We start from the raw sequence: 19248 nt of genomic DNA, 5'->3' as shown, positions 1-19248 counted from the left end.
AGGAGAATCGCTTGAACCCGGGAGGCAGAGGTTTCAGTGAGCCGAGATCGCGCCATTGCACTCCAGCCTGGGCCACAGAGTAAGACTCCATCTCAAAAATAAAAAAGAAAAAAGAATCTTTAACTTGAACTATAATATGTCTTGCTAAAGGAAAAATACACTCTTCTTATAGAGGCTTTAAACCTATTGTGTATTTTCTATTTAAAAACATTTTTTTCAGTGAGGGTTTGTGATGGATGATCTCAGTTACTAAGCTGAATGTGATTAGGGAATGGATTTATTTACCAAGTAGGCCAGTTAACTTTGTTTTGTTCTGTAGTTATAGAACAAAACCTATTCATGGCAAAGTGTTTTGCTGATATTTGTAGATATTTAAATTTGGACAGAAAGGTAAGTCCATGGTTTCTGGAAAACTCCCTCCCTCCGTCCCTTTCTCTCTTTTCTTTTCTTTTCGTTCTGTATTTCTTTCTTTCTTCTCTTTCTTTTCTTGAGACAGGGTCTTGCTCTTGTCACCCAGGCTGAAAGTGGTGCAGCCACAGCTCGCTGTAGCCTGGACTTCCTGTGCTCAAATGATCCTCCCATCTCAGCCTCTTGAGTAGCTGGGACTACAGGCATGTTACCACCATGCCTGATTAATTCTTGCATTTCTTGTAGAGACAGTGGATTTTTCCATGTTGCCCAGACTGGTCTCGAACTCCTGGGCTCAAGCCATCTACCCGCTTTGGCCTCCCAAAGTGCTGGGATTACAAGTGTAAGCCACTGCACCCAACCTCAGTGTAGTTATTGTAATTGCATTTTAAGAGTGACTTAAACACTGAGTAAATCCTATTATTTTAGGATTTAGGTGCAAATTTAAAAAAGGACTTTTCTGTTTTCTGAAAGGTTTTATGTAATTTGATCTTGTCTTACTTACAAAACCAGAATTCTATTAACTGATTTTTCAGCAATCTGTTGATCTTTGTTGTATATTTGTATCAAAGTGGAAATAATTTTATGCTATTAAAATTATGAAACAATGGTTACACATGGTAAAAAAACTTAGTATAGTTGTATATAAAATGAAAAGTAAAAGTCTAGGCTGGACGCGGTGGCTCACGCCTGTAATCCCAGCACTTTGGGAGGCCAAGGCGGGTGGATCACGAGGTCAGGAGATCGAGACCATCCTGGCTAACACAATGAAACCCCGTCTCTACTAAAAATACCAAAAATGAGCCGGGCATGGTGGCAGGCTCCTGTAGTCCCAGCTACTCAGGAGGCTGAGGCAGGAGAATGGCGTGAACCTGGGAGGCGGAGGTTGCAGTGAGCCGAGATGGCACCACTGCCCTCCAGCCTGGGCTACAGAGCAAGACTCTGTCTCAAAAGAAAAAAAAAAAAGTCAAAGCCTTCCTTCTTACTGTCTGTGCCGGAGGCTGTCCTTGTCACATCTCAGAGGTAACCAGTGTTAACCATTTCTGTTTAAGTTTTGCTGTTGCTTACTGTTGCTTACCATTATAACTTTAAATAATATGCATATAATTCTGCTTCTTGATTTATCAACTTTAGGCAATTTTTGTTAAGTTTCCATCAGAGAAGCTGAGCAATTTTGTGAAATCATACTACCCCCTTTTGTTTTCTCATCCTAACCTTCAAATTTATTGCTTCTATTTTAATTTGTTTCTAGTAAATACTTTTATGGCTTTAAATTATAAACTTAAATTTCTTTTTCATTATGTGTCAATTTAGATACTATCTCTGATGTCAATGTGAATTTTTTTCTTCTTTTAAATTTTAGATTTGGGGATACATGTGCAGGTTTGTTACATGGGTAGGTTTGTTACATGGGTATATTGCATAATGCTGAGTTTGGGCTTGTATTGAACCCATCACCAAATAGTGAACATAGTACCCAGTAGGCAGCTTTTCAACCCTTTTTCCTCTGTTTTTCCCCTTTTGGAGTCCCCAGTGTCTGTCGTTCCCATCTTTATGTCTGTGTGTACCCATTGTTTAGCTCCCACTTATAAGTGAGGACATGCGGTATTTAATTTTCTGTTTTCTTACTTATTTCACTTAGGATAATGGCCTCCAGCCCAACCCATGTTGCTGCAAAGGACATGATTTCATTCTTTTTTATGGCTGCATAGTATTCCATGGTGTATATATACCACATTTTCTTTTTAACTGTTGATAGACACCCAGGAGGATTCCATGACTTTTGTATTGTGAATAGTGTTATGATAAATATACGAGTGCAGGTGTCTTTTTGGTAGAATGATTTCTTTTCCTCTGGGTAGATACCTAGTAATGGGATTGCTGGGTCAAATGGTAATTCTATTTTTGATTCTTGGAGGAATCTCCAAACTGCTTTCCACAGGGGCTGAACTAATTTATATTCCCACCAACTGTATATAAGCATTCCCTTTTCTCCTCAACCTTGCCAACATCTCTTGCTTTTTATTTTTGATAATAGCAATTCTGACTGGTGTAAGATGGTATCTCACTGTGATTTTAATTTGTGTTTCTCTGATGATTAGTGATGTTGAGTGTTTTCTCCCATGTTTTTTCGCTACTTGTATGTCTTCTTTTGAGAAGTGTCCATTCATGTCCTTCGCTCACTTTTTAATAGGGTTGTCTTTTTCTTATTTAAAAAAATTTAAAATAACTTTAAGGTTGGGTGTGGTGGCTCATGCCTGTAATCCCAGCACTTTGGGAGGCCAAGGCAGGTGGATCACGAGGTCAGGAGATCGAGACCATCCTGGCTAACACTGCGAAACCCTGTCTGTACTAAAAATACAAAAAATTAGCCGGGTGCAGTGGTGGGCACCTGTAGTCCCAGCTACTCGGGAGGCTGAGGCAGGAGAATGGTGTGAACCTGGGAGGCGGAGCTTGCAGTAAGCCGAGATGACGCCACTGCACTCTAGCTTGGGCGACAGTGCAAAACCCTGTCTCAAAAAAAAAACACACAAAAAAACCTGTAATTTATTTTACTTTTTTGAGACAGAGTTTTGCTCTGTCACTGAGGCTGGAGTGCAGTGGCATGATCATGGCTCAGTGCAGTCTCAATCTCCTGGGCCTAAGCAATTCTCCCACCTCAGCCTCTTGAGTAGCTGGGACCACAGGCGTACACCATTAAGCCTGGCTACTTTTTAAATTTTTTGTGGAGACAGGGTCTCACTATGTTGCCAAAGCTGGTCTTGAACTCCTGGGCTCAAGCAGTCCTCCCACCTTGGCCTCCCAAAGTGCTGCTGATTACAGGTGTGAGCCAGCTCCTTCCCCCAGCCCCCGGCCAATATTGCATTCTTGGTTTGGTTCTCAGCTTGAATGTTATTGGTGTATAGAAATGCGATTGATTTTTATATGTTGATTTTTTATCCTGAAACTGTACTGAAGTCGTTTATCGGGTCTTGGAGTCTTTTGAAGGAATCTTTAGGGTTTTCTAGGTACAGGATCATATTATCAGTAAATAGATAATTTGACTTCCTCTTTTCCTGTTTGGATGCCTTTCATTTCTCTCTCTTGCCTGATTGCTCTGGCTAGGGCTTCCAATACTGTATTGAATAGGGGTGGTGAGAGTGGGCATCCTTGTCTTGTTTCAGTTCTTGGGGGAATGCATCCAACTTTTGCTCTTTCAGTATGATGTTGGCTGTGGCTTTGTCATAGATGGCTCTTATTATTTTGAGCTATGTTCCTTCAGTGCCTTGTTTGTTGAGCATTTTTGTCATGAAGGGAATGTTAGATTTGTCACATGCTTTTTCTGTGCCAATTGAGATGATCGTGTGGTTTTTGTTTTTATTTCTGTTTATGTGGTGAATCACATTTCTTGATTTGTATGTGTTGAACCATCCTTGCATCCCAGGAATAAAGCCCACTTGATCGTAGTGAATTATCTTTTCAATGTGCTGCTGGATTTGGTTTGTATTTTGCTGAGGATTTTTGCATCTATGTTCATCAGGGATATTGGCCTGTAGTTTTCTTCGTTTGTTGTATCTTTGCCAGATTTTAGTATCAGGATGATACTGGTTTCGTAGAATAAATTAGGGAGGAATCCTCCCTCCTTGATTTTTTGGAGTAGTTTCAGTAGGATTGGTACCAGCTCTTCTTTGTACGTCTGGCAGAATTCAACTGTGAATCCATCTGGTCCAGGGCTATTTTTGGTTGGTAGGCTTTTAATTACTGATTCCATTTCATAACTTGATATTGGTCTGTTCAGGGTTTCAGTTTCTTCCTGGTTCAATCTTTAGAGATTGTGTCTTTCTAACATGAATGTTAAAGGAAGTAATACACCTTTCCCACTCTTTATTGCTACTTCCCAATTTTTAAAGTATAATGTTTGTAATAATGTTTGTAGTATTTTGGTGTATTCAGTGCTCTTTTGTCCGTGGGTTGATTCTAAAAAGTGAACACTTAAGCATTCAACAGCATTAAAATACTATGATTTTAAAATTTATTTACTGCTGAGTAGATGAATATGTTGAGACTCGTGGAGAAGGAAATGTAATCTTTAGTACAGTCAGCCCTCTCTATCTATGGGTTCTGCATCCACAGATTCAATCAACTGTGTGTTGAAAATATTCAAGGTCAGGTGCTGTGGCTCACACCTATAATTCCAGCGCTTTGGGAGGTCTAGGCGGGTGGATTGCTTGAGCTCAGGAGTTCAAGGCCAGCCTAAGCAATATAGTGAGACTTCGTCTCTACAAAAAAGTAAACAAAAAAACTAGCTGGGTATAGTGGTGCATGCCTGTGGTCCTAGCTAACTTGGGGGCTGAGGTGGGAAGATCACTTGAGCTGGGGAGGTTGAGGCTGCAGTGAGCCGAGATTGTGCCATTGCCATTCAGACTTGGCAACAGAGTGAGACCCTGTCTCCAAAAAAAAAATTAGAAAAAACTCCAAAACAATAAAAAATAATGCAAATAAACCCAGCATAACTATTTATAAAGTATTTACATTGTATTAAGTATTATAAGTAATTTAGGGATGATTTAAAGTATACGAGAGGATACATATAGGTTATATGCAAATACTGTGCCATTTTATATCAGGGACTTGAGCATTCTTGGATTTTGGTTTGGAAGGAACTGAAACCAACCACATGGTCCGCATACTCCTCCCCACACCATACTGAGGGATGACTGTATTAAATAAGTGCTGCTTGAAACAGTGTTCCAGGTATTAAGGCCTAATTGTTGATGATAATTTATTCTGCCTTTTCTTCAAGTCTTCTGGGTCATATTCAGCTAGTAGTTTTTCTTTGTATTCTATGTGTGGTTTTTCTTGGATTCTTTTCTTTTGGTTGTTTTTAGATGAGGAATTTTTTTTTTTTTTTTTTTTTTTTTTAAATACAGGGTTTTACTCTTAACACCCAGTTTGGAGTGCAGTGGCATGATCACAGCTCACTGCAACCTCAACCTCCTGGCTCAGGTGATTCTCCCACCTCAGCCTCCTGAGTAGCTAGGCTTAAAGGCACCCACTACCACGCCTGGTTGATTTTTGTATTTTTTTGTAGAGACAGGGTTTTGCCATGCTGCCCAGGCTGGTCTTGAACTCTTGGGCTCAGGTGATCTGCCTGCCTGAGCCTCCCAAAGTACTAGGATTACAGGCGTGAGCCACCGTGCCTGGCTGAGGATGTCTTTTTAAGTAGCATTTTCATATAGGATGTGTAGATTTTCTGAGTTCTTGCATGTCTGATAATGTATTTTGTTCTCATACTTGATTGATAGTTTGGCTGAATTAATACTTAAATATTAAGAATTTTTTTTTTTCTCAGCATTCAAAACTATTGCTTCATGTCTTCTGGTATATCTTGTTGTTCCTGGGAAGTTTCTTTCTTTCTTTTTTTTTTTTTTTTTTTTTCTGGAGACAGAGTCTCACTCTTGTTGCCCAGGCTGGAGTGCGATGTCGCGATCTTGGCTCACTGCAACCTCTGTCTCCCGGGTTCAAGGGATTCTCTTGCCCTCAGCCTCTTGAGTAGCTGGGATTACAGGTGCCTGCCATCATGCCCAGCTAATTTTTGTATTTAAGTAGAGATGGGGTTTCACCATGTTGGCCAGGCTGGTCTCAAACTCCTGACCTCTGGTGATCCACTTGCCTCGGCCTCCTAAAGTGCTGGGATCACAGGCAGGAGCCATCATCCCTGGCCAGGAAGTTTCTTTTTTCAAACTTGTATTTTTCCTCTCCAGAATCTCTTAGGATTTTTTACTTTTTTTGTTTTCCTCATTTTTCTTTAATACAGTTGCCATCTTACATAATGTACTATTAAGTGCCTTCTTAATAGCTTCTAATCTACCCTTCTGTTACACTGGGTGGCATCCTGGGATGGAACTCTTGTTACCACTCATGTTTGTGGAGTACTGTTCTTTAGTACGGTACATCTGACTCATATGGTCAGGCCATATAATTCATGGGTAGTGGTATTAATTTCTATAACTGAATTAATGCACACATCCAAACCATATATATTTCTTTCTTTTTCTTTCTTTTTTTTTTTTTTTTTTTTTGAGACGGAGTCTTGCTCTGTCGCCCAGGCTGGAGTGCAGTGGCGCAATCTTGGCTCACTGCAGCCTCCGCCTCCCAGGTTCAAGTGATTCTCCTGCCTCAGCCTCCCGACTAGCTGGGATTACAGGCATGCACTACCACACCTGGCTAATTTTTGTGTTTTTAGTAGAGATGGGGTTTCACCATGTTGGCCAGCCTGGTCTCGAACTTCTGACCTCAGGTGATCCACCCGTCTTGGCCTCCCAAAGTGTTGGGATTACAGGTGTGCGCCACTGCGCCCTGCCTATATATTTTTCAACTTAGAGTTCATACAAAGTCTGTTTCCTTTCTATAGTAGCTATTGCTTCAGATTGTGGTTTAAAAATCCAAGAAGTGGGAAGAATGTCTTTGTTTGTTTTCATTGCTGCTTTCTTCCTTTTTTCTTTTCTATCTTCCTTCCCTCCATTTTCTTTCTTCCGTTCATTTCTTTCTTTCTTTTTTTCTTTCTTAATAAGAGGTTAACAGAAATGGGTTATTAAGGAAATCAAAGTCTAGTAAATGTTCAAAACATGAGATCAGAGTAGTCACAAACTCTTCTTTGTAGTGATGTTAAATTACTGACAAATGTTTTTTGAATACAGAAAAAGCCTTTTTTTTCTTTTTTTTTTGAGACGAAGTCTCCCTCTGTCGCCTAGGCTGGAGTGCAGTGGCGCGATCTCGGTTCACTGCAACCTTTGCCTCCCAGGTTCAAGTGATTCTCCTGCCTCAGCCTCCCGAGTACCTGGGATTACAGGCACCTGCCACCGTGCCTGGCTAATTTTTGTATTTTTAGTAGAGACAGGGTTTCACTATCTTGGCCAGGCTGATCTTGAACTCCTGACCTCGTGATCCACCCACCTTGGCCTCCCAAAGTGGTGAGATTACAGGTGTGAGCCACCGTGCCCAGCCAAAAATCCAATTTCTTATTTCAATTTATGTGTATTTTTTTTTTTTTTTTTGAGATGGAGTTTTGCTCTGTTGCCTCGGCTGGAGTGCAGTGGCACAATCTTGGCTCACTGCAACCTCTGCCTCCTGGGTTCAAGCAATTCTCGTGCCTCAGTCTCCTGAGTTGCTGGGATTACAGGTGTGTGCCACCACGCCTGGCTAATTTTTTTGTATTTTTCGTAGAGACGGGATTTCACCATGTTGGCCAGGCTGGTCTCGAACTTCTGACCTCAAATGATCATCCACCTTGGCCTCCCAAAGTGCTGGGATTACAGGCGTGAGTCACCGTGCCTGGCCATATATGTATATTTTTTCTCACAGCTGAGGCAAAGATCAATTTATGTGTATTTTATTTTTATTTATTTATTTATTTATTTGAAATGGTCTCACTATATTGCTCAGGTTGGGGTGCAGTGGTACGGTCTCAGCTCACCGCAACCTCTGCCTCCTGGGCTGAAGCCATCTTCTGATTTTAGCCTTCCGAGTAGCTGGAAGGTGCATGCCACCATGCCCAGCTAATTTTTGTAGTTTTTGTAGAGATGGGGGTGTCACCATGTTGTGTTGGCTGGTCTCAAACTCCTGAGCTCAAACAGTCCACCCACCTCAGCCTCCCAAAGTGCTAGGATTACAAGCATGTGCCACCACTCCCAGCCTGTATTTTTATTTATTTATTTGTTTGTTTGTTTGTTTGACGGAATCTCACTCTGTTGCCAGGCTGGAGTGCAGTGGCACAATCTTGGCTCACTGCAGCCTCTGCCTCCTGGTTCTAGTGATTCTCCTCCCTCAGCCTCCCAAGTAGCTGGGACTACAGGCGTGCACCGCCATGCCCAGCTAATTTTTTGTATTTTTAGTAGAGACCGGGTTTCTCCATGTTGGCCAGGATGGTCTCGATCTCTTGACCTCATGATCTGCCTGTCTTGGCCTCCCAAAGTACTGGGATTACAGGCGTGAGCCACCGTGCCCAGCAGTCTGTATTTTATTTTTGAATAATTATGTGTTGTTTGGACATAAGTAGTTACTAAATTACTTTACCTAATTATGTAATAAATGGAATCATTAGGTATTTCCTTTGCCGTAGGGTCCTGTGAACAAATTACTAAGATACTAAGGGTTCTGTGAATGAGTTTAAGATCCTCTAACTGTAGATATGATCAGTGTTTATCTATATTATCAATTTTTTTTAAGAACTTGATTTTTAGTGGATGTTTATACTCTTATATGAATATGCAATGCTTTACTGAACTCTCTCTGCTTGTTGAACATTTAAGTTTTTCCTAATATTTTGATAATATGTGTAATACTAATAGCTGTTGTTGTGTCTAAATCTTGGTCCTTAATATCTAATTCTTTCCTTAAAATAGCGTCTTATAAGTTAATTTGCTGTGTCAAAGGGTATTAGTTGTTTAAGGCTCTTAGTATTTATAACCTAATTTTTTCATATATAGTTTTCTCCACTACTACTAACAATATATAAAAAGTGCCCCTCATCTCAACCTCAGTGGCTGTGAATGTTCTTTATCACAATTTGACAGTTGAAATGGTTTCTGCTTTAGCATGATAGTAATTAGAGCTGTTTCTCTATGATTTTCCTACATCTGAGCTAAAGATCTTACCAGTCTTACAATTTACATCTCTCTTAGCTCCTAGGACCTGTAGTTCATGGTTGAGGTACCACCCCTCTTCCAACCTCACTAGTCTTTACCCATTTTATAGTTGGTAATTATTTTTGACTTACTAAAAAGCAGGAAGTTTAAGCTGGGCATGGTGACTCACACTTGTAATCCCAGCACTTTGGGAGGCCAAGGTGTGTGGATTGCTTGAGTCCAGGAGTTCCAGACTAGCCTGTGCAACAAGGGGGAACCCTGTCTCTACAAAAAATACAAAAATTATCCAGGCATGGTGACATGCACCTGTAGTCCCAGCTACTCAGGAGGCTGAGGTGGGAGAAACACCTGAGCCAGGGAAAGTTGAGGCTACAGTGAGCTGTGATCGCACCACTGCACTCAAGATTTGGCGACAGACTGAGACCCTGTCACCAAAACAAAACAAGACAGCAGCAAGTTTTCCTTGGAATATTTTATATTTATCTAATCTTGTCATCCACATTTTTCTACTTTTATGTTAAAGATATGTTCTACAATATAATTTACCAGGAAGTTTTCTAGTCATCTTAATTTCCTACTCTTAATTTTTATTGGAAGAATGGGTGATTTTTTTTTTCACAGATATATATATATTATTCTGAAAAGTAGTGAAGAATAAACAAAGTTTCATGTTGTGTTTTGGTATAGAAATTGTTAAAAGCATTTTAAAAAATATCAGGCCAGGCGTGGTGGCTCACCCCTGTAATCCCAGCACTTTGGGAGGCTGAGGCGGGTGGATCACGAGGTCAGGAGATCGAGACCATCCTGGCTAAGATGGTGAAACCCTGTCTCTACTAAAAATACAAAAAAAATTAGCTGGACGTGGTGGTGGGCGCCTGTAGTCCCAGCTACTCGGGAGGCTGAGGCAGGAGAATCACTTGAACCTGGGAGGCAGAGGTTGCAGTGAGCCAAGATGACGCTACTGCACTCCAGCCTGGTGACAGAGTGAGACGCGTCTCAAAAAAAAAAAAAAAGTTTCAAACTACTGGAGAGAGGAGAGTGCAAATCTAGCTGTCATTTAACACTGGGAAGAACAGGCCAGGCGCGGTCGCTCACAGGTAATCCTAGCAATTTGGGAGGCCGAGGTGGGCGGATCACCTGAGGTCAGGAGTTCGAGACCAGCCTGACCAAATATGGTGAAAACCCATCTCTACTAAAAATACAAAAGTTAGCTAGGCGTGGTGGCAGACGCCCTTAGTCCCAGTTACTTGGGAGGCTGAGACAGGAGAATTGCTTGAACCTGGGAGGCAGAGGTTGCAGTGAGCTGAGATTGCGCCACTGCACTCCAGCCTGGGTGACAGAGCGAGACTCCATCTTAAAACAAACAAACAAACAAAAAAACTGGGAAGAACACAACTATGCTGTTTATCGTGTGTGGATTTGTCATTCTGGCTTTGTGCAACAGAAAAACCAATATTGTACAAATAAGATGTTTATTTTCCTCTTGTAATGAAAGGTCCAGAGATGGGGCATGCTGGGCTGGTGCAGTTGTGCCAGGATATTAACAAGTATTCACCTCCTTTCCTCTGTCTGTTCAGTGGTTTTTGTACATGTGGTCCCAAATGATTGTTATGCCTCCAGGTATTTCTTTCACATTCTAGTCAGGAAGAAGGGGAAGAGGCAAAGGCTGAAAGGCAAAAGAGACTGTGCCAACCAAATGGTAAGCAAATGCCTTCTATGGATTAGAGGAACACAAGGGAAAACAGGTTGTGAATGGCTCTGGGGAAGCCAGTCAGTAATAGTCTCTGCCACAGTGTGGAACAAAGGGTTCAATGAAAGGTGGGAAAGAAATCTTTGAGTTAATGTTAAGCAGTTAAAACCCACATTCTTAATGATAAGTACAATTTATGAACTATAACTGTCTCCCACACTGTGTAAAGACTTTTCATAATCAACCAAAACACATTTTGTTGACTTTCATGTCCATGTAAGTATAAAGACTTAACATTTAGGATAATTTTTTTTAAGCAAAGCCTTATAATGCTGATGTTGTCCTTATCTTTTTAGATAAGTGATAGGAAAACACCACAGAGAAATTTGGTATTTATAATAGTGAAGAGAACAGAGTCATATTAGATTTTACCTTTGCTCTAAGCCAATTAGCCAAGCCTCCTTGTTTAGTTTACTGTCACAAAGACATTTTCTTTTTCAGCATTTGAATAAACAGTATTTTTTGGGGACTAAATGATTTGAATAATGTTTATTCCCTCTTAACAAACTACTCATATTTTCCGTTCTCGGGGAAGGATTTTTGCTCCTGATTCCTAGTAAATATACATACAAAGGAAAAACAAACTGTGATGTACCAAAATCTTTTGAAAACCTATTTCAAATCTCAGCTAATAAATACTGTCTAGCAGTGGGATTCTGGTAGTTAAATAATCTCTCTGTATCTCAGTTTCCCCATCTGTAAGATCTGTTGGATGACAAAATACTCCTCACTGATTGTTGCGAGGAGTAATTGAGTCAAAATGTATAAAAGTCTCCAGCAAAGCATTAGTTTATTTATTCGCTAAATCTGTATAGAGGGGTTTCAATGATAAATTTCCCTGAAGGTTAAGTTAGTAAATAAAAAGGGTAGATATTGAGTAAAAATTATAGTCAGTTTTTTGAGAGTGAGGATTAATCTGGTTAGATTCAGCAGGAAGATAGAATTTTATCCACATCTGTAATGAATTGTTATAAAAAAGTATTCGCCATGAATGTCCATCCCTCGCCTGTCGCGGCGGGTGGATCACCTGAGGTCAGGAGTTCGAGACCAGCCTGGCAACATGGCAAAACCCCGTCTCTACTAAAAATACCAAAATTAGCCGGGCGTGGTGGCACGCGTCTGTAATCCCAGCTACTCGGGAGGCTGAGGCAAGAGAATCACTTGAACCTGAGAGGCGGAGGTTGCAGTGAGCTGAGATTGTGCCACTGCAGTGAGCCGAGATTGTGCCACTGCACTCCAGCCTGGGTGACAGAGCAAGACAACAACAAAAAAAGTTTATTATATTAGGAAAGAAAAATTGGTTTGATGATGGGCTCTTTTACTTTAGCCTTGAAAATAAAGAAAAAAGGTAAAGGAGAAGACCTTATCTTTTCTCAAATTAAATTAAAAAAATAAATAAAGGGCCAGGCGCGGTGGCTCACGCCTGTAATCTCAGCACTTTGGGAGGCCGAGGTGGGTGGATCACAAGGTCAAGAGATCGAGACCATCCTGGCCAACATGGTGAAACCCTGTCTCTACTAAACATACAAAAATTAGCTGGACATAGTGGCACGTGCCTATAGTCCCAGCTACTTGGGAGGGTGAGTCAGGAGAATTGCTTGAACCCGGGAGGCAGAGGTTGCAGTGAGCTGAGATCATGCCACTGCACTCCAGCCTGGCAACAGAATGGGACTCCGTCTCAAAAAAAAAAAAAGTTTAAGAAAAAATTAGAAAACATGCTGGGTGGCTGGGCTTGGTGGCTTATGCCTGTAATCCCAGCACTTTGGGAGGTTGAGGTGGGAGGATTGCTTGAGGCCAGGAGTTCAAGATCAGCCTAGACAACATAGCGAGACCCTATCTCTAAAAATAATAATAGTAATTATTATTATTTAAAAAACCAAGCTGGGCACAGTGTGTGTGCCTGCAGTCTCAGCTACTCAGAAGGCTGAGGCAGGAGGATCGCTTGAACCCAGGAGTTTGAATTCAGCCTGGGCGACATAGTGAGACCTTGTCTCTATAAAAAAAAGAAAAATTAGGAAACAAAGATAAGCAAAAAGAAGTAAAGTTATTCATAGATAACCATTATGAATGGTGTGGTATGTTTTTCTACACTTCTTTCTCAGGAAATACCTACTTTTCTCCAAAATGCAATCATATTCTACATACTTTTTAGTAGCCTGTATTTTACATTTTACAATATATAATGAATATTTTTCCATTTTACTAAACCTTCTTTTCCAATAGTTGTGTTCTGTCCTTTTTTCCTAAAGAAAATCTATACCATTTACATCTACAACCCTTCCATCAATAATATCTTTAATTATATGCAGTTATTCTTGTGAGTATGGGTAAAAATCTGCTTTCTGACCTTCTTTCCTCCCAAAATCACTGTTCTACATTTTTCTTTTCTTTTACTTTTAAAATTTGATTCTATTTTTCTTTTTTTCCATGACAGATCAGAACCAGTGTTCTACATTTTTATTTAATTAATTAATTAATGAATTAAATTTTTTTTTTTTTGAGACGGAGTCTCACTCTGTCGTCCAGGCTGGAGTGCAGTGGTGCGATCTTGGCTCACTGCAACCTCCGCCTCCCAGGTTCATGCTATTCTCCTGCCTCAGCCTCCCAAGAAGCTGGGACTACAGGTGCCTGCCACCATGCCCGGCTAATTTTTTGTATTTTTAGTAGAGACGGGGTTACACCATGTTAGCCAGGTTGGTCTTGAACTCCTGACCTCGTGATCCACCTACCTCAGCCTCCCAAAGTGCTGGGATTACAGGCGTGAGCCACCGCACCCGGCCCTTGTTCTACATTTTTAATAACTATAGTCTGTATACATGTACCTTTATTTGTTTAACCAGTTACTCTGTTGATTGATGCTTATTTATAACTTTTTATTATTATAAATAGCACTGTGATCAACAGATGTCCAGTTAAAACTTTGTTTTTCTGAAAGAGAGAACTTTCTAAAGTAGAAATATGTAGAGGGATAGGAAAGAGTATGTAAATCAAAATGTACTTTAATTTGTCATGATAATTACTATAAAATTTCAAAGTGAATCTGTGGATCAATTTCTTATTACTATATTGGTTTACATAAAGTAGGAGTTTTAATAACCTATATAATTTATTTTTTATTTTATTTTATTATTTTTTGAGACAGAGTCTTGCTCTGTCACCCAGGCTAGAGCGTAGTGGTGTGATCCTGGCTCACTGCAACCTCTGCCTCCCAGTTTCAAGTGTTTCTCATGCTTCAGCCTCCCCAGTAGCTGGGATTACAGGCACCTGCCACCACGCTGGGCTAATTTTTCTATTTTTAGTAGAGATGGGTTTTCTCCATGTTGGCCAGGCTGGTCTTGAATCCAGACCTCAAGTGATTTACCTGCCTCCGCCTCCCAAAGTGCTGGGATTACAGGCGTGAGCCACCATGACCAGCCTAAGAACCTATATAATTAAAAACTTAAAAATCTCCTCTTGGATGTACTTACGGGTAGCAGTATAAATACAACATAAGCGTTTAGAGCTATGTGGAATCTTATCTGGTTCAAATTGCTTGCCTCAGAAGAAGTCCAGAAATATACAATGCCTTCCTTAATATCACATAATATGTTTCAGCATCTGATATATTGGTGCTGAGTACATGAATAGCTATATATTGGTTTTTCTAACTCCTACCCCAACGTTTAAGTCTGTAACAGGATTTATAAAGATAATGAGAACTACAGTTGCTCTTTGAACAAAATTTGAACTGTGCAGGTCCACTTGTACCTGAACTTTTTCTGATAAGTATGTAGAAAAATTTTTTGGAGATTTGCAACAATTGGAATAAATTGGTAAATGAATTGCATTGCTTAGAAATATGGAAAAAATTAAGAAAAAATTAGGTGTGTCATAAATGTATAAAATGTATGTAGATACTAGTCTATTTTATCATTTACTACCATAAAATAGACACAAATCTATTATAAAAAGTTAAAATTTGGCCAGGCATGGTGACTCATTCCTGCAATCCCAGCACTTTGGGAGGCCAAGCTGGAAGAATTCCTTAAGCTGAGGAGTTTGAGACCAGCCTGAGCAACATGGTTAGACCCTGTCTAAAAATAAAGTTAAAATTTGGCTGGCATGGTGGCTCACGCCTGTAATCCCAGCACTTTGGGAGGCCGAGGCGGATTAATCACAAGGTGAAGAGATTGAGACCATCCTGGCCAACATGCTGAAACCCCGTCTCTACTAAAAATACAAAAATTAGCTGGGCGTGGTGGTGCATGCCTGTAGTCCCAGCTATCTGGGAGGCTGAGGCAGGAGAATCTCTTGAACCCAGGAAGTGGAGGTTGCAGTGAGCCAAGATTGTGCCACTGCACTCCAGCCTGGTGACAGGGCAAGACTCCACTTAAAAAAAAAAAAAGTTAAAATTTATCAAAACTTAGGCACAGAAACACTTAAAGACCACACATGATGCCATTTGCAGTCCAGAGAAATGTAAACAAATGTAAAGGTATAGTACTGAATCATAACTACATAAAATTCACTGTTGTACATACTGTACTACTTAATATAATAATTTCATAGCCAATTCTTCTTGCTATTGCTGTGAGCTCAAGTGTTGCAGATACACGCTTAAAATGCTATGTGATGCTAATCATCTCCACATAAGCAATTTGTCTCTCTGGTAAGTTGGATGTAGCAGTAAAAAGTGATCACTTGTGGTTCTTGTGTATTTTTCATCATGTTAAGTGGAATACTGTAAAGTTTGAATAACACCATGGCACCCATATGGAGTGCCACTAATCATGCCAGAAGTGCTCCCAAGAAGCAGAGAGAAGTCATGACATTAGAAAAAAAAAGTTCAGTTCCTTGATATGTACTGTAGATTGAAGTCTGCAGCTGCAGTTGCTCACCATTTCAAGATAAATGAATACAGCATAAGGATCATAAAAAAAAAGAAAAAGAAATTTGTGAAGCCATTTCTCCAGCTATGCCAAAAGGTGTAAAAACCTTGCACTTTTTGCTAAATAACTTTTTATCTTGTATTGAAAAGATACAGCTTCTCTGTGGGTGCAGGATTGCTATAAGAGAGGCATACCTATAGATTCTAATGTGATTTGAGAAAAAAAGAATTCATATGACACCTTATAGCAAAAGAAAGGTGAAGGATCTAAAGCTGGAGAATTTTATGGCAGCCAAGGATGGTTTGATAATTTTGGAAAGAGATGGCTTTAAAATTGTCAGGATAGGCTGGATGTGGTGGCTCATGCCTAGAATCCCAGCACTTAGGGAACCTGAGGCAGGAGGATCTCTTGAGACCAGGAGTTTGAGACCAGCCTAGGCAACATAATGGGACCCTGTCTCTTAAAAAAAAAATTAGCCAGGCATGGTGATGCAAACCTGTAGTCCTAGATATTTGAGAAGCTGAGGCAGGAGGGTCACTTGATCCCAGGAGTTTGAGGTTATAGTGAGCTATAATCTTGCACCACTTCACTCCAGCCTGGGCATCAGATCAAGAGCCTGTCTCAAAAACAAACAAACAACAACAACAAAAAAACAAAAAACAGGCCAGGTGTGGTGGCTCACACCTGTAATCCCAGCAATTTGGGAGGCCGAGGTGGGCAGATCACGTGAGGTCAGGAGTTCAAGACCAGCCTGACTAACATGATGAAACCCTGTCTCTACTAAAAATACAAAAATTAGCCAGGTATGGTGGCGCACGACTGTAATCCCAGCTCCTCAGGAGGCTGAGACAGGAGAATCATTTGAACCCGGGAGGCAGAAGTTGCAGTGAGCCGAAATCACGCCACTGCACTCCAGCCTGGGCAACAGAGCGAGACTACGTCTCAAAACGAAACAAACAAACAAAAAAACCGCAAAACCCAGTCAAGATAACAGTAAATGCAGCAGATAAGTTCCCAGATGCCAATAAGGAAATCACTGAATTATGGAAGCTCAAAACCTGCCAGGTGTCATGGCTTACGCCTATAAATCCCAGCACTTTGGCAGGCCAAGGCAGGAGGATCACTTGAGCCCAGGAGTTTGAGACCAGCTTGGGCAACATAGTCAGACCCTGTTGCTACAAAAAAATAAAATAAAATATGGTGGCACGTTACCTAGAGTGTCAGCTACTTGTGAGGCTGACGTTGGAGAATCCCTTAAGCCCAGGAGGTAGAGGCTACAGTGAGCTGTGATTGTTCCACTGCACTCCAGCCTGGGTGACAGAGTGAGACCTTGTTCCCCTCTCCAAAACAAAAAAACAAAACAAAACAAAAAAAACATTGAGGAGAAAGGATATCTGCCTGAATAGGTCTTTGTTTGTTTGTTTGTTTTAGACAGAGCCTTGCTCTGTCACCCAAGCTGGAATGCAGTGGCACAATCTCCACTCACTGCAAACTCTGCCTCCCAGGTTCAAACGATTCTCCTGCCTCAGCCTCCCAAGTAGCTGGGATTACAAACATGCACCACCATGCCCAGCTAATTTTTATATTTTTAGTAGAGACAGGGTTTCACCATGTTGGCCAAGGCTGGTCTCGAACTCCTGACTTCAAGTGATCCGCCCGTCTGGACCTCCCAAAGTGCTGGGGATTACAGGTGTGAGCCACCGCGCCTGGCCCTGAATAGGTTTTTAATGTGGACAAAAGGGCCTTATTCTGGAAAAAATGCCACAAGGAACATTAATTAGTAATGAAGCAAGCCCCAGGATTTAAGGCAAGAAGGGATAGAAGGATAGAATTGTACCATTGTGTGCAAATGCAGTTTGGGTTTATGATTAGGACTGCCCTTATCTATAAAGCTGCTAACCCCTGAGCCTTGGAAGGAAAAGATAAACACCAGCTGCCAGTCTTTTCATTTTACAAAAGAAAGTCTGGACAATGAGAACCCTTTATCTTGATTGGTTCCATCAATGCTTTGTTCCCTAAGGAAGTACCTTGCCAATAAGGGACTGCCTCTCAAAGTTCTTTTGGTATTAGACAATGCCGTGATTCCCCATAGCCCAATGAGTTCAACACTAAAGGTGTTGAAGTGATCTATTTGCCCCCAAACACATTTCTAATTTAGCCTGTAGATCAGTGGGTCATAAGACCTTTAAGGCTCATTACACGCGGTACCCTATGGAAAGGATTGTCTACATTATGAAAGAGAAACCCAATAGGGAGAACATCATGAAGGTCTAGAAGGATTGCACCATTTAAGATGCTGTTGTTACAGCCACAGAAGCCATCAAGCTCAAAACAATACATTCCTGCTGGAGAAAACAGTGCCCAGATGTTGTGCATGACTTCACAGGGTTTATGACAGAGCCAGTTAAGGAAATCATGAAGGAAATTGGGGGTATGGAAAAAAAGATGGAGTGAAGGGTTTTAAAATACAGATCCGAGAGAATTAAAGACCTAATAGATGGCACACCAGAGGAATTAATAAATGACTTGATGGAGATGAGTGCTTCCGAACCAGTACCAGATGATGAGGAAAAAGACACACAAGAAGCAGTGTCAGGAAACAAATTGATGTTAGACAAGCTGGCAAAATGGTTCTGATTATTTAGGCTGCTTTGGACTTCTTTTACAACATCTCCTCTTCTATGATACAGACACTGAAACTAAAGCAGACGGAAGAAGGAATGGTACCATACCAAAACATTGCTAGAGAAATGAAAAAGCAAAAAAGTCAGGCAGAAATTATGATGTATTTCTTTTTATTTTCCTTTCTTTTTTTTTTTTTGAGATGGAGTTTCGCTCTTGTTGCCCAGGGTGGGGTGCAATGGCTTCATCTCGACTCACGACAATCTCTGCCTCCCCGGTTCAAGCGATTCTTCTGCCTCAGGCTCCCGAGTAGTTGGGATTACAGGCATGTGCCAGCACGCCTGGCTGATTTTGTATTTTTAGTAGAGACGAGTTTTCTCTATGTTGGTCAGGCTGGTCGCCAACTCCCAAACTCAGGCGATCTGCCTGCCTTGGCCTCCCAAAGTACTGGGATTACAGGTGTGAGCCACCGCGCCCGGCCTATGATGTATTTCTATAAAGTTACACTAAGTGTGCCTGCCTCTTCTGTCTCCCCTTCTACCTCCTCCGCCTCTGCCATCCTTGAGACAGCAAGACCAACTCCCCTCTTTCTTCTCAGCCGACTCAATGTGAAGACAATGAGGATGAAGAACTTTACGATGATCCACTTCTACTAATGAATAGTAAATATATTTTGTCTGTCTTATGGTTTCCTTCGCATTTTCTTTTCTGTAGCTTACTTTATTGTAAGAATACAGTATATAATAAAAATAACATACAAAATATATGTTAATTGACTATTTATGTTATCAGTGAGGTTTCCAGTCAACAGTAGGCTATGAGTAGTTAAGTTTGTGGGAGTCAGAAGTTGCATGTGGGTTTTTGACTGTGTGTGGGGTAAGCGCCACTAAGCCCTGTGTTGTTCAAGGATCAACTGTTTGCCTGTGGAGCAAGCAATGATCTCTAATGAAGGGAGACTGATGAAGGCAAATTG

General features: G+C 40.9%; 1 protein-coding gene across 12 annotated transcripts in view; it reads left to right on the top strand.

The window, feature by feature from the left end:
* CDK19 (cyclin dependent kinase 19) overlaps positions 1 to 19248 on the top strand; it is a 205878-nt gene that overhangs the window by 11401 nt on the left and 175229 nt on the right. The window contains exon 1 of one of the 12 annotated variants that reach the window (XM_024446380.2): positions 18707 to 18937. The exons of the other annotated variants lie outside the window; for them this stretch is intronic. The gene's annotated coding sequence lies outside the window, so the exon portion shown is untranslated. Of the gene's footprint in view, positions 1 to 18706; positions 18938 to 19248 lie in introns of those variants that run through there. 12 annotated transcript variants of the gene reach the window in all.

Source organism: Homo sapiens, chromosome 6 (genome assembly GCF_000001405.40).
Source record: "Homo sapiens chromosome 6, GRCh38.p14 Primary Assembly".
NCBI lineage: Eukaryota > Metazoa > Chordata > Mammalia > Primates > Hominidae > Homo > Homo sapiens.
Note: the sequence above shows the minus strand (reverse complement) of the source record. Positions and strands in the feature narration are given on the sequence as shown.